The sequence below is a fragment of the Homo sapiens genome, chromosome 11 (genome assembly GCF_000001405.40).
Source record: "Homo sapiens chromosome 11, GRCh38.p14 Primary Assembly".
Taxonomy (NCBI): Eukaryota; Metazoa; Chordata; class Mammalia; order Primates; family Hominidae; genus Homo; species Homo sapiens.
In genome coordinates this window covers 71186867-71210887 of record NC_000011.10, presented here as the reverse complement: position 1 = coordinate 71210887, position 24021 = coordinate 71186867, and the positions used below count along the sequence as shown (strand labels likewise).

The following is a 24021-nucleotide window of genomic DNA, read 5'->3' as shown; positions in this document are numbered from 1 at the left end:
GCTGCATCACACTCTCTTCACTGCCCCCAAGATGTTTTTCTCTTCAGTCCTGAGGCTTCCGGGCTCATTCTTGGAGCAGGGAGAGTGCTGTCCAGGTGTGGAGTGTGTTTTATTTAGGACAATGGTGCTCTCTGTCCCCAGTTCCTTCAGCAGACGCCTGGGTCTCTTGGTATCCACTGAGCCCCAGGTCAAGTGGGGGGAAGTGGGTGGATGGAGTGATCTGGTCTCCAGCTGCAGTGGATTTCCTGACACTTGTGGAACAGTCTGCCAGTAGGGAAGAAGTGAGATGAGTGTGAACAGAAACAAAAGCACATTACATGAATATAAATATGTATCTGGGCTGGGCATGGTGGCTCACACCTGTAATCCCAGCACTTTGGGAGGCCGAGGTGGGTGGATCGCAAGGTCAGGAGATTTGAGACCATCCTGGCTAACACAGTGAAACCCCGTCTCTACTAAAAATACAAAAAAATTAGCCGGGCGTGGTGGTGGGCTTCTGTAGTCCCAGCTACTCGGGAGGCTGAGGCAGGAGAATGGCATGAACCTGGGAGGCAGAGCTTGCAGTGAGCCAAGATCACACTATTGCACTCCAGCCTGGGCGACAGAGAGAGACTCTGTTTCAAAAAATAAATAAATATATATATATATATATATATATATATATATATATATATATACCTGTGGATTTCCAATGAAGAGGACCAGGTGGCAAGGGCTGAGACCAGGTATGCACCACTAAATACTGGGGATGGTTTTGCAGCCCCTGGAGACCCCTTGGGACTGAGGCTGCCTTCAGAAGTTCCCTTGCAGATGATCGAAAGCTTCTGTTCTTCACATTTTGGGGTCACGGACTCGTTTGAGCATCTGATGAGTCTTGTGAAGAATGGATGCCTCAGCACACAACCCACGTCCTGTGTCGAATCCTCGGTGGTTTATTGCCACTCCCAGAGATACCCCACTGGGCGCCAGGCATCTGATGAGTCTTGTGAAGAATGGACACGTCCTGCTGTCCCAGAGAGCCCCCACGGGGTGCCAGGCAGGCCCCTGGGATGTAGTCTGGCAGAGACCCCCCAGTATATCTCTCTAGGCAGCTCACGGCAGGTGCTCTGTTGATGGGATGGGACAAAGACCCTCACCTCCAGAGCAGATGTGCTGTTTGGTAGTCCAGGGACACGCAGTATGGAGGGTCTCCTGCAGGAGCACCCAGCACATTGACACCAACACAGGGTTCCTGTCTGCTGTGTGTTCTGCCACAAGGGATGGCTGCTGCCTGGCTTTGCAGCTCTCCCAGAAGTTCACTGAGTCAAGAGTGAGGAGCTGGGTCTGGGTATGACCATGTGTGTGCTGGTGGGAGGGGGCACCATGGCTGTTCCTGATTCTGAGAGGAGGCACGACCTATGCAAAGGGGAGCACCCAGGTGTGTCCCTGGACAGGGAAGCCTGACCCCCTCCACACCTGCTTGGCTGGGCTCCTGCGAACCGAAGCTCCCTCCTGGGTCAGCCCTGCACGTGGGTTTTCTTGAGGCAGGGCGTGGGAGGGTGTGTCTGATTGGCCTGTGTCGGGAGTGGCCCACTCACTACAAATTGTGAAGGGGATTTCTTGATGAGAACAATCATGACAGTCCTTGCAAGGCCCTGTGGTTTTCCTCAAGTCCTCACCCAGAGCGACATTTATCCTGGCCTGGGGATGGGGCTGGAGGAGCCTCCTGCTTCGTGATTCAGCCTGGCTGGTTCCTGACCAGCTCCTTCCATCTGTGGTGAAATGAGCAGAGCCAGGGCCTGAGAGGGACGTTCTGCTTTTGAAGCACAGTGGCTTAGACTCAGAGGACTGGGCTTTATTCTGCTCTGACCTTTCCCCTGACATTGGGGCCGAGTGTCCTCTCTGGTGAGGAACAGTGGCTGACGGTGCATCTTACTTCTGCAGATGCCTTTTCCTGGAGACATGTAACGTTGGTCATCTCAACAGGATCATGAAATTTCTTTTTCTTCTGTTTCCTGGCCTGTGATCTCCCAGAGTTTAGCAACCTCTGCTCTAAGTCAGAGAGTGTGTGTGTGTGCGTGCCTTAGATGCGATTTATTGAGCACTTCTGTCTCAATAAAAAGTCCAGTCTTCCTAGACTCTCTTGTTAAGCCTCCAACCTGCCTTGGACAGATAAGGAAACTGAGGCTGGAGATTCAGTAACTCACCAAGGATCACACCTAGGGGAATTGGAATCAGGATTCCAAGCCAGTGTTTCGTATTCCAGAGACTGCTCGTTGGTCTCCCTTGCTATGCCAGCCACTCTATCCTGGGAGCTCCCTTGAGGCAGGGCTGTTTTATACCCACCTGTAATGTCCACAGCACCTGCCTAGGACTCGGGAAGGGAGGGTGGGGAGGAACACTTGGGTGCACAGCCCTGTCCTGGCAACGTAATGTCCCCTGGAGCTATCCGAGATTTGGAAAGCAGCATCGGGCTAGGGTTTATGGGGTTGAGATTCTTTCTCCCCTTGTTCCATAGCCTCACCCAGTCCATCCTTGGAGCCTTCTGCACATACTGGGCTCTGGTGCGTGTCCCTTCTCCCCCCAACTTCCCCATCTCCCCTGACACTTCTGCTGGGGCTGCCCTCCTTCCCAGGACAGCTTCTCCCTGCCCTGGCACATCCCACTCAACCAGCAATGCCCACTTCCAGCTCATGCCCCTCCAGGGCACCCTCCTGCCACACTGGGTGCACAGTGGGGCCCCTGGGAACACCACTGCATGGCTTTCTGTGCCCCTCCTCGGGTTTAAGTACAGGGACGCTGGACTAGTTGGATGTTCAGGGCAGCTGTGGTTTTCTTCATGTGTGGGTTTTAGGTGTCTTAAGGCCCTTAAAAGCTTTTCTTGGGAGCCCTCAGACTGCCAAACCCAGTATACCTCTCGGACACCAATCTTTCTTTTTTTTTTGCAGTGGAATTTGTTGAAATTTAGGTAAGCCTGCCTGGGAAGCAGGCAGGAACACAGAGGAATTCTTTTCTCGGCATTTTGCTCTCCAGCCTGGAGAGGCAAGAGTGACCCTGAGTGTGCCACCTTCCAGAGAGGCCTGGTGCAGGGTCAGCCTCCAGTGACGGTGTCACACTGAGGACTAGTTAGAGCTGTTTGGATTCTGGAAGCGAGGACTGGAAGACCTGGCTGAGAGAGACGGGGTCACACGGGGCAGCTGGCCCTGGCGTCAGTGCTGTCCTGCTCTGTCGATTTGTTTTTGCTTCTTGGTTAAACTTTACCTGCATCTCAGCAAAGCACTGAAAATAGATTAGAAACTTGCTAATTTCCCCTTTTCTTGGAAAGAAGAAGGGAAAAATCAGAGAGAATGTAATTCACCACAACAAGCAAACAAACCTAATGTAGGAGGCTTGGCCTATCTGAGACTGTTAGAAATAAAATTTAAAATGGGCCGGGCACGATGTCTCACGCCTGTAATCCCAGCACTTTGGGAAGCCAAGGCGCACGGATCACCTGAGGTCAGGAGTTCAAGATCAGCCTGGCCAACATCGTGAAACCCTGTCTCTACTAAAAATACAAAAATTAGCTGGGTGTGGTAGCGGAAGCCTATAATCCCAGCTATTCGGGAGGCTGAGGCCAGAGAATCACTTGAACCCCGGAGGCAGAGGTTGTAGTGAGCCGAGATTGCGCCATTGCACTCCAGCCTGGTTGATAGAGTAAGACTCTGTCTCAAAAAAAAAAAAAAAAAAAGGAATTTTAAAGTGTTGGTTGAATCCAAATGTTCCTATTTTTTTTTCTTTCCTTCCATGATTTTTTTTTCTTTTCTTTTCTTTTTTTTATTTTGAGGCAGGGCCTCACTCTGTCACCCAGGCTGGAGTAAAGTGGCCCAGTCATAGCTTGCTGCACCCTCAACCTCCTGGGCTCAAGCAATCCTCACTCCCCGCCTTCCTGAGGAGCTGGGACTACAGGCATGCACAACCATGCCTGGCTAATCTTTTTTTTACTTTGACTTTTTGTAGAGACCAGGGTCTTGCTGTGTTGCCCAGGATGGTTTCAAACTCCTGGCCTCAAGCAAGCCTCCCACCTCAACCTCCTCAGTAGCTGGGACTACAGGTATGTGCCACCATGTCCATCTAGTTTTTTTACTTTTATTTTTTGTAGTTGCCGCGTCTTGCTATGTTGCCCAGGTGGTCTCAAATGCCTGGCCTCGAGTGACCCTCCTGCCTCGGCCTTGCAAAATGCTGGGGGTACAGACATGAGCCACTGCACCCAGCCTTGACGTTTTTATTATATTACAAATTATCAACTGTTTACTGAGGTAGCAAGCTAGTTTTTTGGAGGTATGGGGACATGAGCGCTGTAATTTTGCTGTGGTTCTGTAACTGTGGATATGAGAATAGTGCGATCTCTCTGCGTGGATGTAGGCTGGCGGGGGTGCGGCGCTGCTGGCTCCCGGCTTTCTCTAAATATTTACGCTCCTGTGCTTCCTGACACTCTGAGTGGCAGTTGCAGATCCGCATTCCAGTGTTAATTCTGCCTGGATGTTTTCAGAGGGAAGAGTTGGCTTCCAACAGCTGTTTAACAGTCACGATGTAACCTCTAAGGAATAGTTAACTAAACGCACAGAGGAGATCCGGGTGTGCGGATGCTGTTGATCACGTGCAGGCGTTGTTCCAGCCCTTCCTGGAGTCGCTCTGTGTGTGTGCCTGTCCGGAGAGGGAAGCAATGGGAGGGAATTCAGAAACAGAAGACTTTGCACTAGCATCCTTCTTCTTCCATCAGCACGGGCAGATGTGTACTTTGCAGAGTGAGTTCGCGTATTCTTTCCCCTTGTGTTCATGGAGTAGCCACTTTAGGAAACGTGGAGGGTTCCATGCAGGCTGGCGCGGGGCACACGGAGAGAAATTGGACCTGGCTCCTCTCTGGATGGGGATGGGGCCGATGAGAGCTCAGCCCTGATTGGAGCTTTTCTCCCCAGAGGTCCCCAGCCCCGTTTCACCTGCTGCAGCCCTGGGGGGACACAGGGCTGAGGGGCCTTTCCTTTCTCCCAGATCTCAGCAGCCATCCAGAAACGACTCTTGACATGGCCCCAAGAGACCATCCTTGGCCATCTTCCCACAGTGACCCTGTGGACTCTGCCACCCCCCTGCCACCAACAAGTGGATAAATAACACGCCTGACCCAACATGCCCAGATGCACATTAGGAGTGCCTTGGTAGGTGTTGGGGAGGGAGCATTAGCAGACCTACCCCTCTCTGGAACTTTCCTCCTGGTAAAATTTGGAAGTGTGGTGCTTCCCTGACATCTTGGAAATCTCTGGGTGGCCGACTCGGACTTCCCAAAGTTGAATGCTAACAAACAGCTAGAGGGACTGGGGAAGGAGGCTGAAGGGGACTCTCCGTCCTGGCACGTGGGTCTCCTGGCACTGCCTCCTGAGGGGCTGTGCAGCCTCTACTGGAGCCCAGCAAGAGGGGCACAGGCAGGAGCTGGAGGGTGGAGGTTCTCGCAGGAGCGCCCAGCAGGGGCACGAGGCAGAGCCACAGGACACTGCTGGATTTGCCACTGATTGAGGGTCAGGGTGGTGCTGGTCAGTACCCTCTGACCAGAGAGAGGCATGACCACCAGATTTCCAGATGACCCAAAGCTAGGAAGAATGTGGGCTGGATGCGGGGTGGTGACTGTGAGAAAAGGGGCTACCCCACAGGATGGGCCCGTGCTGAGAGTCCGTGGCCTGGGGTACTTCTGTGGTCAGGCCTCTGGCTGCAAAGGCCACGGGAACTTGGGTCTGAGTAGCTCATTACACAAGGGTGCTACGGAATCCAGGGCTGGGACTCCCTGGGCACTTGGGGCCTTCCTGCCTCTGGTGTTAACTGGGGCACCCTGCTGGGGCTGCCTTCATGGGGAAGAGGAGAGAGGGCAGGTGAGGGAGGGAGGAGGGAGGCCAGGCTGACATCACCCAAGGCTGACATCACCCGAGCTAGCTGTCCCCTGCCTCCCTCATCTCCATCTGCAGAGGGACCCTCCTACCTGGGACCAGGCGTCCCTTCCCTGCCCGGCCGTGGTCAGCATCCTGTGGATGGGCCATTGGGAAGGTGGAGTGCTCCGAACCCCTGCCTCCTGCCCCCTTCCCAGGACTTGTCTGGCGTGGCTCCAGGGTGGCCCTCATCACTTAGCAGTCCCAGAATGAGTGCATTCTTGGTCTTGTTTTCTGTGTCTCTGGTCAGGGTTAGACTGGGGCTGTCTTGGAAGGAGACAGTGGCCCCAGCTGAAACCTCGAGGGGACCCTGTTCTCAGAAACCCTATCTTCCCCTAAAGTGCAAGGGCGTGGCTGGCAGGGTACAGGCGTCCAGGTGTCAGGGTGAAGTGCACCTGCCTGGGGAGTCCCTTGCCGCAGCCTTCACCCAGGGGAGAGGAGGTGAGCAAGCGGCACCCTGTGGTGCCTCTTCCCGTCGGAGCCTGTCACCCGAGAACGTGTCCATGGGGTCCCTTCCTGGCACAGGCTCACTTTACAGAGGCAGCGCAGATGGGAGGTGCGCTGGGTCCTGTTACCTCCCCGTGGGACACTCCTACCAAGCCGCACCATCAGCCCAGCAGGGGCCCTCTGCCCGTGCCCTGAGCCGGGGGCCTGGTGCCGCAGTTACCATGTGAGCACGCCCCTTCCAGATCATTTCCATGGAGTTTATGGGTTTTTTTTGGATTTACATCTTTGACTTTTATAAAAGTAACTTATGTTCTTGTAAATCCAGCCAGACCTCAGTTTCCCCACCCCTGGCCTGCAGTTTTCCTCGGAACAGGACAGCTGTGTTCAGGGCTCCCCAAGGCCACCCCCATCCAGGTTCACTGATTCATGAGAAGGACTCACAGAGTCCTTAGTGAAGCTGTTTTAGCGACAGGCAGGGTTCATCACAGCGAAGGGTGGAATCAGCAAAGGCAAAAGGCATGTGGGGCAGAGTCCAGGAGAGACCAGGCGCCCGCTTTCCGTGTTCTCTCCCGGGGCGGCACGTAGATGGTTCCCCCCAAAGATGTGTGACAGCACACAAGGAGTCCAGACCCCTGCACCCTGCTCCTGAGCCTCGGAGCCAGGGCTTTTCCTGGGGGTTCTTCACACAGGTATGACTGGCCTTAGTCCCCAGGCCCCTGAGAGGTCACGCTGCTACCATGTGGCCTGGGGTCCCCACTGTAACACGTGTTGTTAGCACAGGCCATCTGATGTCACTCAAGGCCCCAGGTGAACTCAGGCACTCTTACCACACAGGATATTCCCAGGGCTCAGAGGGGATCTCCCATGAGCTGGGTAAGGACCCCGTCTTTCTTTCTTTTCTTTTTTTTCTTTTGAGATGGAGTCTTGGTCTGTTGCCTGGAGTGCAGTGGTGCCATCTTGGCTCACTGCAACCTCTGCCTCCCCAGTTCAAGCAATTGTCCTGGGGACCCAGTCTTTCTTTGGAGTGTGTGGGGTTTGGACAACCCAGGCCTGCTGAGTTAACCCTTTATTGCACTACAGTATTAAAATGTCTGGCATCTGGTCCAAGCTGCACAGGATCAAATCTTGGTTTGACCATTTATTAGCTCTCTGATTTAGATACTTCTTATATCTCATTGTTTTCTTGTTGAAATAGGGGTTATCATAGCACCTATCTCTTAGGCATGTGGGAGATTGACTTGTTGGCAAATGCTGACCACTAAGGTCTTGGCAAAGGTTCGCTGCCTCCTCACCATCTCCAGCAGACAATTGGGGCACATCTCCCTAGACCCTGCGCCTCCCCCTCACAGATGGTCATTACGCTGGTGTGACCCTTGATTCCAAAAGCTGACCCACCCTTGCAGGTGGTACCTGAGATCACTGGAACCCCACAGGGCCACCTGCTCCATGAGCATGCCTGTGTGTACAGTCCTGCGGACACACAGTGTTTTCCATATCTCAATTTACTTCTTATTTTGCTGCTCCACAGAAAATTTGGAAAACAGAGAAAAAGGGTCAAAGTCACCCAGCCCCAGTGCCAACTATCCTGGTGGCATCTGGCTCCGTTTTTTCCAAGGCAGTTTCCCATGGCTTTGACCCTGGGTCAGTGCCGTGCTCATTGTTGCCCCTTGCATGCTCATTGACTTAACCAGGGCAGGTGACTTTGGCACAGCAGGCAGTGGAGCCGGCCAGGTGGATGGAGACAGCCTTGCTGTGCCCTTTGGGTGGGACCTGGTCAGGAATCCCACATGGACAAGAGGATTGTCCATGGTGTGCTCTGACTGGCCTATGACTCAGAGACTTCCCAAAGGTCACCTTTAGTGACTCTGTGTGCTGGCTGCTTTCCCGGTGGGTCATTCTGGCCAACATCGACCCCTTTTGACACCTGGGCAGAGCCACCTGGAAGCCAGCTCCTGAGGAGGGGTAGCCTGAGATGTGGGTATGATGTTGAGTGTGGAGTTGGAAGACCTGGGTCCTAGCTCTGCCTTGTCTCGCCGAGGGGCTGGGAGTACCCTCACCTCTCTGACCTCAGTCTATGGATCTCTGAAATGGGTTCAGTCACCTGCCCACCCGCCAGGTAGGCTGTTCTTAAGGTACAAGGACCTGAGCTGCAGAGAGTGGCTGGTTGTGTGCCCTCTGTGCTGCTGTGCACATTCTGAGATGTGGTTCCATGACCTGTCTAGGCCCTGAGGGGAGGAATGAGGAGGGGATGGGGCTGGGGAACCAGTGGCCTCTGAGGTGAGTTCCTGATCTGGGCTGCCACCCGGCAGAAGGGTGTGTCCACCAGGCCCATGCAGATGCCTTAAAGGCAGGGAGTTGTTTGTGCACCTTGCACCCTCATCATCAAGCAGCCATTCATTCACTTGGCACACAGTGATTAAGCACCTACTGTGTACCCGTGAGCCATGTGGGCACACCCCTCCTCCACACAGCTGTGAAGAATCAGAGAATCAGATAAACCAGGACTTGTCCAAATAACAATAATTGGTCGGTATCCTGTAGAACAGGGGACCCTAATCCATTTGGAGGGCTCATGGCTGTGCCTTTGAAATTTGGCAATGACAGAAGCCACTGGGCAGGTTCCGGGAGGCAGGTTTGTTCCTCGGGTCAGGGCGACTGGAGGAACTGGAGTAGGTGCCTCATCCCTGCCTCCTTCCCACAGATTCATCCCCCGTCTCCTGGTGGGAGACAACGTGCTCCTTCTGGACTTCAAAGCCAGCCCCACTACCCTCGGAGTCTGTGTGCTGGGCGTGGACAAGTCTCTGCTTTGTACCCACTCTGTGGCCGTGAACCTGTGACCTATACTTCTCAGCCTTGCTTTTCTTATCTGTAAAATGGGAATAGTCACTGGATTTATCTTAAAGCTGAGGTCACTGGTGTCTGGGCTTGAAAGAGAACCGGCTCATAGGGACCCTCACTCACGAGCCCCTGCTGTGCAGGTGACCGCCATCAGTGACCGCCGTCTGTGGCCAAGTGAGTAGCAGCAGCAGCAGCTCCGACCATCATGGCATTGGAGTGCAGTGGACACAGCGTGGTGATCACCCTTTGTGGCACACGCCAGCTCGGCGCAATCTCCGGGCGGGCAGCGGTGGGCAGCACAGCTCTCCTGAGGCGTGGAAAGACGTGCTTGTCCTCGGGATCACAACGGATCCCATATATCCATGAGACAAGAGGTGCTTCTCGTGGCCGAGACCTCTCTCTTTGCAGTGCCTCAGATTTCCACCGCTTTGTCAAGTTGGAATATGGGGGAGGGCACGTGGTTGCTGTGGAGAAGGAACAGTTGAGGGAAATGAATGCATGTCATCTGCAGGAGCTCCTCATGGCCTAATTGGAAGATTAATTTTCCATCTTGGGAGGAATTTTTGGGCACTGCTAATTGTCTTAAACCATCACTGTCGTGTCTGTCTCTTTGATGGCTCGGGGGAGGTCGGTGTGGGGGCTTTATGTTGTTTACTGATGCATCCTCGGGGCCCGTGGCAGGCCCTGCCACATTGCAGGTGCCCAATATTGGTTGAATGCACCACTGAACAAAGCTTTGAGCACATACCTTTATTTACACATAGGGTTTTCCCCATATGACAGTCACTAAAATAAAGATCTGAAGTGTGTGTGTGTGTGTGTGTGTGTGTGTGTGTGTATTAATTGAGACTTGATACCTCTCTGTGGTCTGGTGACTGAGGACAAACACATCTGACCATGGTGTGAAGCTCCTGACTGAGCATGCAGATAAAGGCTTGAAGACAAAATGACAGCAGTGGGAAGAGAATTACTGTCTGAGCCATACCCATGGTATTGGTTAACATGTGGCTGCCGCTGAGGAAGACGGCCTGGCAAGTCCTAAAAAAAGTTAAATGTAGAGTGAAGTTAAATGTAGAGTTATGTTAAATGTAGAGTGAAGTCAAATGTAGAGTGAAGTCAAATGTAGAGTGAAGTCAAATGTAGAGTGAAGTTAAACGTGGAGTTAGCACATGAGCCAGCAGTTCCACTCCTGGGTGTGTCCCCAAGAGAAATGGAATCATAGGTACGAGTGAAAATGTTTACATACATGCTCATGGCAGCGTTATTTATAATAGCCCAAAACTGGAATCAGTCAGATGTCTGTCAGCTGAGTAATAAATAAACAGTGTGGTGTACCCATGTGATGGGATGTGACTTGGCCTGAAAAGGAATGGATTACGGATGAGGACTACTGCATAGATACACCTTGAGGACATTACGTGTGGTGAAAGGAGCCAGACACAGAGGCCACGTATGATGTGACTCCATTTATCCGCATTGTCCAGATTGGTCAAATCCACAGAGGCAGAAAATAGACTAGCAGTTGCCAGAGGCTGGGAGGTGGCTGCTAATGGGTTTAGGGTTTCCATGTGGGGTGCTGAGAATGTCCTGACGTTAGATAGTGGTGATGGTTACACAACATGGCTAAAAACCATTAAATACTTTAAAGTGGTAAATTCTATGTTATGTGAATTTTATCTGTCTAAAAAATTGCTAAGGAAACAAATGCCCTAAAAGACAAAACCATGTCCGCCTTTGAGAGATTAATCTATTTGGAAATGAAGCTTCATTCTCTTTGCCAGAGGGGATTCCTGCCTGGCATTTTGCTGTCTCCTTGAATCCTTAATACCCCCGACTCTGTCCCCAGCAGCTCACGGCTACAGGGTCTGCACGTCTGGCCAAGGTTGTCCTCGGTCTTTCCAGCGCAGGGGATTAGGATTCCCTATGGCAGGGTGCGGTGTCCGTGCGGCCAGCTTTCCTTCCACGGTTCCTGACGACCCAGCTGCTTCAAGGGCATCCACTGGGCTCAGGTCCTAGGGGCAGTGGCCGGCTTGTCACATCTTCCCTGCATGCTCCCTTCGAGGCTGCAGCTGCTTTGCGTGGGCTGCGGCTTGGGGAGTGTGCACGTTTTAGCGAAGGCTTTGAGAGCCAAGGCAACCTTGCTGCTGTGTCTTCCTCCCATCCATGAAGTGCCTCTTCCTGGGGCGTGACTGCAACCTTCATTTTGACTGAGTGGTCACGTGTAGCTGCAGGTATTGCCTCTACGGCAGGTCACATTTCATTCGGTCTGGCTCCTGCCTGCCCATTTGCCTGGAGCAAACCCTGGCTGCCTACAGGTAGTGACACAGTTTGTGGCTGAGTCTTCTATTTTAATATGCGGCTTGTTCACATCTGCAGAGGCTGACTTCTGTGGATTTGCCTTGTGAGGTGGGAAGTAAAGCTCCCATTTTACAGTTGGAGGGGCTAAGGTTCAGAGAGGTCTGGTGACTTTCTCAAAGTGACACAGCAAGTGGCAGAGCTGAGAACGCTGGCCTACAGTTCCTGTGAGTAAGGGAAGTGACTGGTAACTGCTGAGACTGTCTCTGGTCTCTGGACCTTCTTGGGGGGTCCCTCATGCCCCCTGGCCTGGAGTGCCTCACCTGTGGGCTCCGGGCCACATCATTGAATACGCCTCCGCCCCGTGTCCATTGCGGCATGGTGGCAGGTGACTGAGCAGAACGGGATGGAATTCGAGGAAATGGGCCTGGTCATGACCATCGATGCTGGGCCGAGCATCACAGGCAACTCTCAAAGCTGCAGTCTAAGGAGACTGCCACAGGATGCTCAGGCCTCCATGAGCCACGGCCACCAGTGCAGGATCCAGAACCAACTCTGCCTTTGAAGACCCCGCCGCCTCACAACCTCACTTGCCCACAGACACGAGACATCTGCCTCAGAGGCTCACTGCTGTCTTCTGGATTTTGAACCTCCAGTACATCTGCTGGACGGGAGGGGACCCCGGTGGGACTGACGTGGAAGGGAGTCTGGTCTTGGCCCATCCCCAGTGTGGTGTGGAGTCAGCCATGGATGGGGGTTGGTAGGGGACGGCGTCTGCGGGGTCAGCTGTGGTCTCACCCCTCACAGCTCGTGGACTCACGATGTGGTAGTGGGATGTTCCTGACAGGGTCCTGGGGAAGAGAAGGCCTGTTTCCTGTGGGGCTGTTTCTCAAGGGTGCAGAAACCCTTCTTGGAGGCCCCGCTAGAGACCTCTCCTCATATGGCATGAGCCTTCCTCAGCCATTCTCTGGCTGGGAGAACGAGATTGTTTAACCCGAGAGCTGCCGGCCCCTCCAAACTCCCCACAGGGGGAGATCCTAACTGGGGTCACTGTCCTGTTGGGACAGATGCTGGGCAGGAGGCCCCAGCACCAGCCACAACATTCATAACATACAAAGGCAAAAGTGCCTGAGTACAGTGGCTCATGTCTGCAGTCCCAGCACTTTGGAATGCTGAGGCGAGAGGATCTCTTGAGCACAAGAATTCGAGACCAACCTGGGCAACATAGTGAGACCCCATCTCTAAAAAAAAAAATTAATTAAAAGCAAGGCAAAAATGCAAACTCAAGCCGCTGTCCTTGAAGGCTGGGTGTGGAGCTGACCGGAAACGGCACACAGAGTGAAGCTTCGGCAACTGCTGCGCTTTCACCATCCTTAGCAGTGACTGCCCCTGTGTTTGAACTTGGACTTCTCTGACGCTGGAGTTTGTGACCAGGGTGCCCGACTCCTTCTTCCCTGGCTGGGGTTGGTGATTAAGACTCTTTGCTTTAAATGCCCTTTCCGTGGGGCTGAGCATGGGTAAGCGATGTGGCTCAGAAATGGCCTTTCGGTTAATCAACAGTGTTTTATAAAATGCCTGCCAGTGTAGTCCCAGCTACTTGGGAGGCTGAGACAGGAGAATGGCATGAACCTGGGAGGCGGAGCTTGCAGTGAGTCAAGATTGCGCCACTGCACTCCAGCCTGGGCGACAGAGCGAGACTCTGTCTCAAAAATAAATAAATAAATAAAATGCCTGCCAGGTTCTCTTCAGAAGATGCAGACAAAATCTAAAATCTGAGACCCATGGGGTCCATCTCCCCAGGATTCACCATCTGATAGAGCAGATGGGATTTGCCCAGATGGAGAGACAGAGAAGAAGATGGCCTCATGGGGCAGGGTGTTGGCGGCCTCAGCTTGCCTGGCACCAGGGAGGCCTAACCCTAGATGAAAGAACTGAGCTAGAACTTAAGAGCCATCACACTTATTTGCTTATTTATTAATCTGTTTTTGAACAGGCCTGAGCAGGTTTGTGAGCTGAGGTTGGCACAGGCTGTAGCACATGCTTGGAGTGGTAGCATCTTGGAACCTGCCCACACCCTCCTCCACCCCACCCGGGAGGGCCCAGCCATGTGCTCAGGCCGGACACTGGGGGGAAGGAAATGAAGAAATGGTTTTGTGGATACAAACACGTTGGGTCACACTGAGTCACGGAACTAAGTTCTTCTACCTTCAGTTCTGCTTTGACTCCCAGGACAACAGATGGTCTCCCAGGGCAGAGATTTATGTTGATTTTGTTCCATGTGAGGTCTCAAGCCCTTAGGGAGAGAGCGAGGCACGTGAGGGCCTTCATCCAATAAATGCTGAGAGCAGGGATGGGTTTTTTTTTTTTTTTTTTTTTTGAGACAGAGTCTCACTCTGTCACCAAGGCTGAAGTGCGGTGGCGCTATCTCAGCTCACTGCAACCTCTGCCTCCCAGGTTCAAGCAATTCTCATGCCTCAGCCTCCTGAGTAGCTGGGATTATAGGCGCCCGCCACCATGCCCAGCTAACTTTTGTATCTTTAGTAGAGATGGGATTTCACCATGTTGGCCAGGCTGGTCTCAAACTCCTGACCTCAGGTGATCTGCCTGCCTCGGCCTCCCAAAGTGCTGGAATTGTAGGCGTGAGCCATTGCATCGGGCAGGGATGGGTCTTTGTGAGCCATGCGGGGGAGGGCATGCAGGGAGACCCCTGGTTTGTTGTGCCAGAGAGCCTTTGACATTTCTAGGACCTTGCTAGTCTCTCTCCCTTTTTAGCAGAAAGAACCAGAGGCAGGGCCACGTGCAATGGCTCACGCCTACAATTCCAGCACTTTGGGAGGCCGAGATGGGTGGATCATGAGGCCCAGAATTTGAGACCAGACTGGCCAACCTGATGAAACCCCATCTCTACTAAAAATACAGAAATTAGCTGGACGTGGTGGCATGCGCCTGTAATCCGAGCTACTTGGGAGGCTGAGGCGGGAGAATTGCTTGAGCCCAGGAGGCAGAGGTTGCGGTGAGCCAAGATCATGCCACTGCATTCCAGCCTGGGTAACAGAGCAAGACACTGTCTCGGGAAAAAGAAAAAAACAAAAAACCAGAGGTGGGTTGAGAGCCTTGGGTAGATTAAAGCATGTAGCTAGAATTTAAGAACCATCCATTTATTCACATATATATTAATTTATTTTTGAGACAGGGTCTTGCTCTATTGCCCAGGTTGGAGTGCAGTGGTGTGATCATGGCTCACTGCAGCCGCAGACTCAAACTCCTGGGCTCAAGGAATCCTCCTGCCTCAGACTCCCAAGTAGCTGTGACCCCAGACACACACCACCATGCTTGGCTAATTTTTAAATATTTTTGTAGAGACAGGGTCTCGCTATGTTGCTCAGGCTGGTCCCGAACTCCTAGGCCCAAGCCATCCTCCTGCCTCACCCTCCCAAAGTGCTGGGATTTCAGGTGTGAGCCACTGCACCCGGCCCATCACATTTATTTTTATGACTGACTCTCCTCTATGGCAGGCAGGTACCAACACCAGGTCCTTTCTTGTTCCTCAAGGGAAGATTTCCCCTCAGAAAAGAGTATTTTTGTTATGTGTGATTTTAGCATTAAACTTTTAATTTATTAGAGTGATACATTCAAAAACTTTTTTTAAGTTTGTAAATTTAATTTTGCAAGGATTTCTCTGTTTATGTCTAGTTGATTTTATGATCCTTTAAGAGTGGGCCTCTGATTACAGTGTGATCTCATTTACAAACCTGAATTCCTGAAATTCTATGAAAAAACTCTGTTTCGGGTATGTAAATAATCCTTATTAATTGCAATATACTGAAAATGGGAATCCTAAATTTTCTGAAACATCTAAGAAATGTTTTCACTTTTCTTAAAATTATGCTTTCAGTATAAAATTTCATGTCTCCATCAATCATTCACCTGCATATTTTGGCTGTGATGACAAGATTAATTGGTTAGGCACTTTTTTTTTTTTTGAGACGGAGTCTCGCTCTGTCACCCAGGCTGGAGTGCAGTGGCGCCATCTCGGCTCACTGCAAGCTCTGCCTCCTGGGTTCACGCCATTCTCCTGCCTTAGCCTCCCGAGTAGCTGGGACTACAGGCGCCCGCCACCACGCCTGGCTAATTTTTTGTATTTTTAGTAGAGACAGGGTTTCACTGTGTTAACCAGGATGGTCTCGATCTCCTGACCTTGTGATCCTCCCGCCTCAGCCTCCCAAAGTGCTGGGATTACAGGCGTCAGCCACCACACCTGGCCAGTTAGGCACTTTTTAATACTAAATATAAATAGGTGCCCTACGTAAAAAGTGAGCTCTATTTCTGGATTTTACATACAACACGCGTCAGGTGGCTTTGGTTTCTTTCTTCATGTCTGTTCTCAGGTTTAAGCCTTATTGGGATTGTAAACCATTAACCCACGAAGGAAGCAGACTGGACCTTCTGTCTAAGTAGCTGGAGTTGACCTTTGACTGGGGTGGATGTAGCGCTGGGACCCAGGATTTGCTTCTTCCTCATGGTCCTTGCTCTCTGCAGCTGTAGCAGGTCTTCTGTGATTTGCAGAGGGCTGGGTCCTGCTGTCCACCAGTCCCTGCTCAAGTTATGGAAGCCTGAATTATTCTGTCAAGTATACTTTGCCAGGAAGTTTGGAGCTCACTTTAATGGTCTGGTTCTCTTTTGCGTTTCTTTGTGGTCTTTAGACATTTTAATTACTTGCAGGTTGGCTCTGAAGACATGTGGCCATTTCCTCAGTCCCTTCACACCCGCATGTCACTTAGCATCCACTTCCTTGGTCACTGGTACTCTGTGTCTGTCTGGACCTGCCCCCCTCCCATTGGCACCTGCTCTTTGGATCCAGCTGTTAACATCCTGTTTGGTGGCTTAATTCTCAGTTGACACAAAGGTGAGGTGATTTAAAGAAGTGCAGGTGAGTGGCGTTGGGGTTTGAGGCCACAGAGAGAGTGAGGCTGAGGCAGTGGCAGCCTGCCCCGACTTCCTGCAGCCCCCACGCCCAGGTCCCCAGGTCTCAGCTGTCACACGCGGCACTGATGCTGGGGTCTCTTCATGACATCAACTCCATCGGGCACCCACTGCTTAGTTGTCCCCGTGAGTAACTGTGGTCCCATCAGAACAGCCACCTACAGACCAGCATCCCCAGATGTGGCCTCAGGTCACTTTGAACACAAAACTTTCCCTGGGTTACCCGAATACCTGCTGTCCACCCCATCCTGGAGTGGGTGGTGATGTGTTTGGTGTCAGTAAGGCTTGGGGATCTCTCTCTGCCTTGATTTCCATGGAAAATGGGAACGATCTTGCTCTTGACTCAGCCCTTCCCGCCAGCAGCACTGCTGTGGGCTGAACTGTGTCCCCGCAAATTCACAGGTTGAAGCTCTAACCCCAAGTACTCAGAACGTGACCTTATTTGGAGCGAGGGTCTTTAAAGAGGTAATCAAGTTAAATGAGGCCAGTAGGGTGGGGCCTGATCTATTGTGACTGGTGTCCTTAGAAGACGACAGCTGTATAGAGACACAGGGAAAATGGCAGTGCCCAGGCGAAGGAGAGGGCCCTGGAACAATCTGTGCCTGCAGAGGTAACCCACCCTGTCTGGACCTGGGCCTCCTGGCCTCCGGGGGCGTGGGACAGCGTGTCTCTGTGGTTTCAGGTGCCTGGTCTGTGCACTTTGCCATAGCAGCCCTGGCCAACTCGTGCAGGTGCCCAGGGCCGGAGCAGGCTGGAGAGCTCTGGACGGGGAGCAGGCAGTGGCTAGGGGCACATGGGATGGGGACTCTGGTCCTAACAGTCACGCCAGTACCCTTTGACCTCAGAAATTGTGGCTCTTTCCAGCCTGTTATCTCATGTTATGACAGAGACCTCAACCCTTCCTCTGGATGGGGTCATGAGATGTTTGCACGTCCAGCGCAAGGTCAAGCCCTGGGATATGGAACAGCTCTGCTGATCGTAGTGGAGCCCAGGAAATGAGGTATCTCTGGTGTGTTTGTGCACACATATACATGTATGTGTGCATGCACACACACACTCCCACACACACTCACACACTCCTCTTGGAATTGCTGCAAGGCTCTGATGAGACGGCCCCAGAACCCATGGGCTGGGATTCCAGACCCACCACAGAAGCCCTCTCAGCCGGTTCTGGTGAGTGTGACCATCACTGGGGCCCGTGCCTTTGGTTTGAGTTGATTTATTAGTATGATTTCGGGGAGGAATCTGGCTTTAGCAGAGTTATGTCTCTGCATTGCCTGGAGGCCATTTGTCTCTGTGTATCTAACATGGCAATAAAGAGAGGAAGGATTTTATTTCTCTCTTTTTCTAATACTTTCCAGACAGCCAGGTTTGGTTTTGCAGACTTCTTTAAAGGAGGAAGAGTAAGCTGTACCAACTCTTGTTTGAATTGGATGTTTGCCTTTGACAAGGAAGGTTCCCCCATTAAGGATGCAGTATTTTATACAAGGCGCTTCATCTTTTCCTCAAGCACCCTGCCTGCGATGCAATTAAGCAGGCATGATTGCATTCTCTGGGTGTCACCTTTTCCTATCACCTTTATGAGCTGATAGCCTCTGATAGCTTGATAAGCTCTCTAGGAAAAAGGAAGCCTTGATGAATATAGATCTCTTTGCAATTTGCATTTGTAAGTGAATATTCCAGTAATGACTGAAGACAGAGAGTATGAAATTGGATTGATTAGGTCATTTTCCTGGGAAAGGCGAGGCTTTTCCACCCAGGGTGGGGCACGTTGTTCCTTTCACCTGGACCTTGTGTTTCTTTTCATTTAAAATATCTTCATAAAGGCTCAGGTTCTGGTCTTTCTAATTACAGTGGGGACAGCCTGGGACCTTCCAATGTCATCCTGCCCCATTCAGGAAACAGGGTTCCAGGCAGTGACTGAGGTACAAGCATCACAAATGTGGATTCTGACATAAAGTAGCAGTTTTGTTTGACGTATTGGTCAATGGGCTCTCATAGTCATAGCCCAACAGTCCTCAAGGAGCCCCGTCACCACAGGTCATGAAGAACAGAGTGGAGAGTTGTCATGGGCTGCACTGTGTCCCCTCCCTGAATTCCTAAGTTGAACCTGTAACCCCCACTACCACAGAATGTAACTGTATTTGGAGACAAGTAATCAAGTTAAGTTGGGGTCATATGGATGGACCCTAATCCAAAGGACTGGTGTCCTGATAAGAAGATGAGATGAAGGCCGGGTGTGGTGGCTCACGCCTGTAATCCCAGCACTTTAGGAGGGTGAGGTGGATGGATCACTTGAGGCCAGGAGTTTGAGACCAGCCTGGTCGACACGGTGAAACCCCATCTCTACTAAAAATACAAAAATTATCCAGGTATGGTATTGTGGGCCTGTAGTCCCAGCTATTCAGGAGGCTGAGGCAGGAGAATCACTTGAACACAGGAGGCGGAGGTTACAGTGAACTGAGATCACGTCACTGCACTCCAGCCTGGGCGACAGAGCGAGACTCTATCTTAAAAAAAATAAAAAATAAAGTTAAGGGCTGGGCACAGTGGCTCACACCTGTAATCCCAGCACTTTGGGAGGCTGAGGCAGGCACCTGAGGCCAGGAGTTCGAGACCAGCCTGGCCAACATGGTGAAACTCCGTCTCTATTACAAATACAAAAAGTAGCCAGGCGTAGTGGTGCATGTCTGTAATCACAGCTACTGGGAGGCTAAGGCAGGAGAATCCCTTGAACCTGGGAGGCAGAGGTTATAGTGAGCTGAGATCACGCCATTGCACTCCAGTCTGGGTGACAGACAGAGTGAGACCCCATCTCCAAACAAAACAAAACAAAAAACAGAGGAGGAGATGAGGAAACAGATGACCCTGTGGATGCGTGGAGGGATGACCCTATGAGGGATGCGTGGAGGGATGACCCTGTGAGGACACAGTGAGAAGGTGGTGTCTGCAAGCCAAGCAGAGAGGCCTCAGGAGGACCCAGCCCTGTGCGGACTCCAGCCTCTGGGATGTGAGATAATGAATGTCTGTTGTGTAAGCTGCCCTGTCTGCCGGGCTTTGTACGGTAGCCCAGGCGAAGACATCTGAGGTGATATGCAGCGTCCTGTCTCCCTCATAACACACAGTTTATCAGTATTAAATTGTGAACAAAGACATAGCATGGATGGGGATACAGCTGAGTGTGCTGCGTTCATTTTTGCATTTTTTTTTTCTTTTTTCTTTAGACAAGGTCTTGCTCTGTTGCCCAGGCTGGAGTGCACCGGAGCAATCGTGGCTTACTGCAGCCTTGACCTCTTGAGCTCAAGTGATCCTCCTGCCTCAGCCTCCTAAAGTCCTGGATTACAGGCGTGAGCCACTGTGCCTGGTATCTCTGGTGTGAGGTATTTCTTGGTGAGCCCCAATTCCTCTGAGAAGTGGCGTAGACGTCCCTTTCTCCCATTGCATGGGAGAAAGGGATGCATGCATGCATATGTATGCACAAACACACCAGAGATACCTCACATTTAAGCTTCACAATGGCCTTCTCCAGCACCGCAGGGGCTGGACGTCCACCTTCCAGATGGGGAAAGTGAGGCCGAGACAGAAATGATGGGTTCGTGCAGGCCACGCAGCCCAGGGTGGAGCCGTGGGATTGGGACTCGGCTCTGCCTGACCTGCAGAAGCCTCCTCTCAACGCCTGCGTGCAGCCCTTGTTCCCATGTCCTGGCATTCTGTCACGGCCTGCAGGACGTCACACACTTCTGCACATACGTTGTCAGAAAGGGGAGAGGCCTTAAGAGGCCGATTCCCTGCAGAGGCCTCATGCCTTGGTGGGTGGTGACGCACTTTCTCTTGTTCCCCATCAACCATCTGTTGGTTCCAAGGCCTCATTTTCCAGACAATGGTGAGCCACACTTCTTCTGAGAAGTGGTATAGACGTCCCTTTCTCCCATTGCAGGGGTTAGTTCAGGAGTGCGGCAGACGGGTACCGAGATGCTTAAGGGTCTGGATGGAGCCTCACGCTGTCCCCTTGCTAAGTACTTAGCACCGCTGCCTCTAGGGCCTGGTTATTGATTACTTGGAAGGAGAACACAAGAAGCGAAAGCCTTCTGAAGCTGCTGCCAACAACGCCCACCTTTGCAGCTGCAGAAGCATTTCCCCTCTGCTCCAAAGGGGCAAGGCCATCTTCTAGTCCAAGGCCAGCTTGGATAAGAGCGAGGACTGAATAATGGCAGCTGTAGCCACTGGGCAGTTTGGGCAGCAGTGCCTGTGCTTGGCTGGTTTCTTTTTCAGTCGTGGGGTTGGGGCCCTGCAGGTGGACGTCTCTGCTGTTGGTCGACCTACGTGTGGATGACTTGGGGCTTCCTTGCAGATAAGGGCTGGGCTGCTGGGAGCAAGTCAGCTGTGCTCTTCACCATGCTACTGGACGCTTGGGCTGGGCCCTCGTGCTCGGAGTGCTCAGCTTCCTTACTGTGCCCGTCTTGTCCTAACAGTCGTGGTGAAGCCTCCCCCAGATGCTGGGGCTTTGAAGCCAGGCTGGCAGAAGAGCTTCCCCAGGCCTCAGCTGCGGCCTTTCCCGTGTTCATTCACCCCCAAGGGCAGCAGCACAGGCTTTGGGAGGGGAGCTCTGGACATGGAGTTTGTCCCTGAGACCTGCTGGCCTCAGATACAGAGCTTGTCCTCTCTGAGTGTTGGTGGGCTCATGGTAAAGTTGGGACCATGGCCAGGCACGGTGGCTCACGCCCAGCACTTTGGGAGGCCAACGCGGGCGAATTGCTTGAGCCCAGGAGTTTGAGACCAGCCTGGGCAACATGGAGAAACCCTGAGTCTACAAAAAATAAAAAAAACTTAGCTGGGTGTGGGGGTTGTGCTCCTGTAGTCCCAGCTACTCAGGAAGCTGAGATGGGAGGATTGCTTGAACCTGGGAGGTTGAGGCTGCAGCGAGCCGTGATTGTGTTACTGCACTCCAGCCTGGACAACAGGGTGGGACTCAATCTCAAAAAGAAAAAGAATAAAAAATAATAAAGTTGGGGTGACTCTCTCTACTGAGAAACTCTCTGAGGTTTGGTAGAGTTTGTCAATTACACAGGCACTGATTGGTCACCAGCGAGGCACCAGCGACTGGAATAAGCCCTGAACAGCACCGCTGAGCCAGGAAATGGAACAGAACGGGGTCTGGGAGCCCCTGGGGGAATCACACACCTGCTGGTGGATGGCGGGAAGCCGGGGTGGCCAGGAGGAGCCTCAGGAATGAGAACCTGGAACAAGGGGAGGGAGAGGGAATGAGTGGTCGGGGATTTCAGCCGAGAATGGCAGATGTGACTATTTCACAACCCAACCCGGAGAGCCTCATCACTGGGAGCTGGGAGCTCCGTCTTCCCTGGCCGTCTGTGGTTGCTGTGACCTGGCTGTTGCCCTGTGGTGGGGCAGCTTCCTGGGACTCCATCTAGGTGGGAGTGGGGGGCCGTGGAGCTGGGGCCCGCTCCTGCTGTATTGAGAGAACCCCAGGGTTTGCTTCCACCCACCTTGACCCATCACTTGCCTCTGTGAGGGGTGACCCCTGCTAGAGAGAAGGTCAGGGTCCCTGAGAAACCACGTAGGCCTTAGCTCCATTTGGAGGTGGTCGTAGTTATCTCAGTGAGGCCAGCACCCAGCACAGTGCAGGGACGTGGCAGGCCCTCAGCAGATGAGGAGAGGTGTGGTGGGCGACAGATGAGTGAGCAGGGCACTCTAGCACCAGCACGGTGCATTTGGGCCCACACCTCAGTTTCATCTTGACTTTGGGTTATAGGCACAGTGAATTTCATTGTCTTCACGGCTGTACCTGGTTGCCAGGGTAATTCATGGGGCCTCGTTTATTTCCACCTTTCAATTACTCAGTATTCCTGTGCCTTTTCGTACGTCCACTGTAAATATTTGCAGTGTTTTCCTGTTCCCTTGCGCCGAAGTCCTTCTCCCCAGAGGGAGGGGATTCTGTTTCTGGAGAGACCTCAGCAGGTCCTGGTTGGGAACGCACAACTTGCTGAGGGATGGTGTGTACTGAGGCCTGGGCATGGGCTGCTGAGGGCGTTTGGGGCTGACCTTCTCAGGCGTATGCTGGAAGGGGCTGGGCAGATGGGGGTAGGATGGTGAGTGGGCAGCTCCAGTGGTCCATGACCAGAGTGACACCAGCAGGGGATACTAAGGGGAGGTCTCAGCAGGATGTGAGAGAGATGGAGGTGGCAAGATCACCAGGTCTCAGGAGTGGCTGGGAAAACGGGGCAGAGGCAGAGGGAAACGTCTCCGGTGATGTCTCAGTTTCTAATGGGAGGAGCAGATGTGTGGTGGCAAGGACTGTGTGGGGTCTGACCTTTGACCCGCCAGGTTAGCCTACCTCAGTTTCGTGATACCAGTAGAAGACACGAAGCCTCTGGATCAGAGATGAAGGTCAGTTCCTTCCTCACAGCAACACCAGTAGGAAGAGCATTTCCAAGGACAGTGCAGGGAAGGCCACCCGGCACCACATGCACAGCACGTTGCGTTGTGGGAGGGAAGCGCTGAGTTTAGGGAAATAGAATCCTTGATAAAGGATGACTTCTGCACACTTGCCCTTTGCTCCAGAGGAAGACACTGTCTCTAACTTCCAAGGCTGCTCGCAGTACAAACATCTTAGAGGATGGGCCAGAAAAAGGCAGAGTCAGTGCCTCTGCCCACGCAACACACAGAACAAGAGAAACCCACCAAGTACTGCCTCCCACTGAGGCTTCTGCCTGGGTCTGTACATTCCTGACATGAAAACCCATGAAGAACGGTTCCTGGGCAAACATGAGAAACCCTTGAACTGTGCTGAATAAAACATGAGAAACCCATGAACTGTGCTGAATAAAACATGAGAAACCCATGAACTGTCCTGAATAAAACATGAAAAACCCATGAACTGTCCTGAATAAAACATGAGAAACCCATGAAGTGTCCTGAATAAAACACGAGAAACCCATGAAGAACTGTCCCTGAATAAAACGTGAGAAACCCATGAAAAACTGTCTCCAAACAAAACATGAGAAACCCATGAAAAACTGTCCCCAAACAAAACATGAGAAACCCGTGAAGAACTGTCCCTGAATAAAACATGAGAAACCCATGAAGAACTGTTCCTGAGCAATATCTACCCCTCATGTCTACATCATCCTGGCAAATTTTCCTGAGTGTGCCATTCTGTTGGCCATGCTGATTAACAGGCAGATTGGGACCAAATCCACCCCATTTGTCTCATGCAGTCTTTAATTAAGACAGCAGCCAACAGGACTGCAGTATTAACCTCAATTGTGACTTCCAGGGTCCTGGATCCAGCCAGCTGAGCAAATCCCACAAGCCTTCAGGGTCCCCTTAGAAACCAAGCTAGTTTCTCTGTAAGTTTCTGTTGACCTTTCCGCTTGGCGGCATGTGTTAATAAACCAGCTACGGCAGGAGGAATCGGCAATTGCACAGACTTCGCCTTGAACCACAAGGAAGAAGTCAAAGGCAATCCTGTCATCTGTGACACTTCTGGATGGTGAGGTGAGGCTGG

General features: G+C 52.2%; 1 protein-coding gene across 19 annotated transcripts in view, besides 4 other annotated features; it reads left to right on the top strand.

Annotated features, from left to right (window-relative positions):
* The window catches only part of SHANK2 (SH3 and multiple ankyrin repeat domains 2), a 785381-nt gene that overhangs the window by 42347 nt on the left and 719013 nt on the right, over positions 1-24021 (top strand). The gene's annotated exons all lie outside the window — the stretch shown is intronic.
* Positions 4557-5151: an enhancer, noted in NCBI's record as "H3K27ac hESC enhancer chr11:70916783-70917377 (GRCh37/hg19 assembly coordinates)". NCBI's record gives its function as "activates a minimal SCP1, AML or CMV promoter by ChIP-STARR-seq in naive H9 embryonic stem cells {active_cell/tissue: H9 hESC(naive)}" and the evidence as "EXISTENCE:reporter gene assay evidence [ECO:0000049][PMID:30033119]".
* Positions 5152-5748: an enhancer, noted in NCBI's record as "H3K27ac-H3K4me1 hESC enhancer chr11:70916186-70916782 (GRCh37/hg19 assembly coordinates)". NCBI's record gives its function as "activates a minimal SCP1, AML or CMV promoter by ChIP-STARR-seq in naive H9 embryonic stem cells {active_cell/tissue: H9 hESC(naive)}" and the evidence as "EXISTENCE:reporter gene assay evidence [ECO:0000049][PMID:30033119]".
* Positions 10739-11613: an enhancer, noted in NCBI's record as "H3K4me1 hESC enhancer chr11:70910321-70911195 (GRCh37/hg19 assembly coordinates)". NCBI's record gives its function as "activates a minimal SCP1, AML or CMV promoter by ChIP-STARR-seq in primed H9 embryonic stem cells {active_cell/tissue: H9 hESC(primed)}" and the evidence as "EXISTENCE:reporter gene assay evidence [ECO:0000049][PMID:30033119]".
* Positions 11614-12489: an enhancer, noted in NCBI's record as "H3K4me1 hESC enhancer chr11:70909445-70910320 (GRCh37/hg19 assembly coordinates)". NCBI's record gives its function as "activates a minimal SCP1, AML or CMV promoter by ChIP-STARR-seq in naive H9 embryonic stem cells {active_cell/tissue: H9 hESC(naive)}" and the evidence as "EXISTENCE:reporter gene assay evidence [ECO:0000049][PMID:30033119]".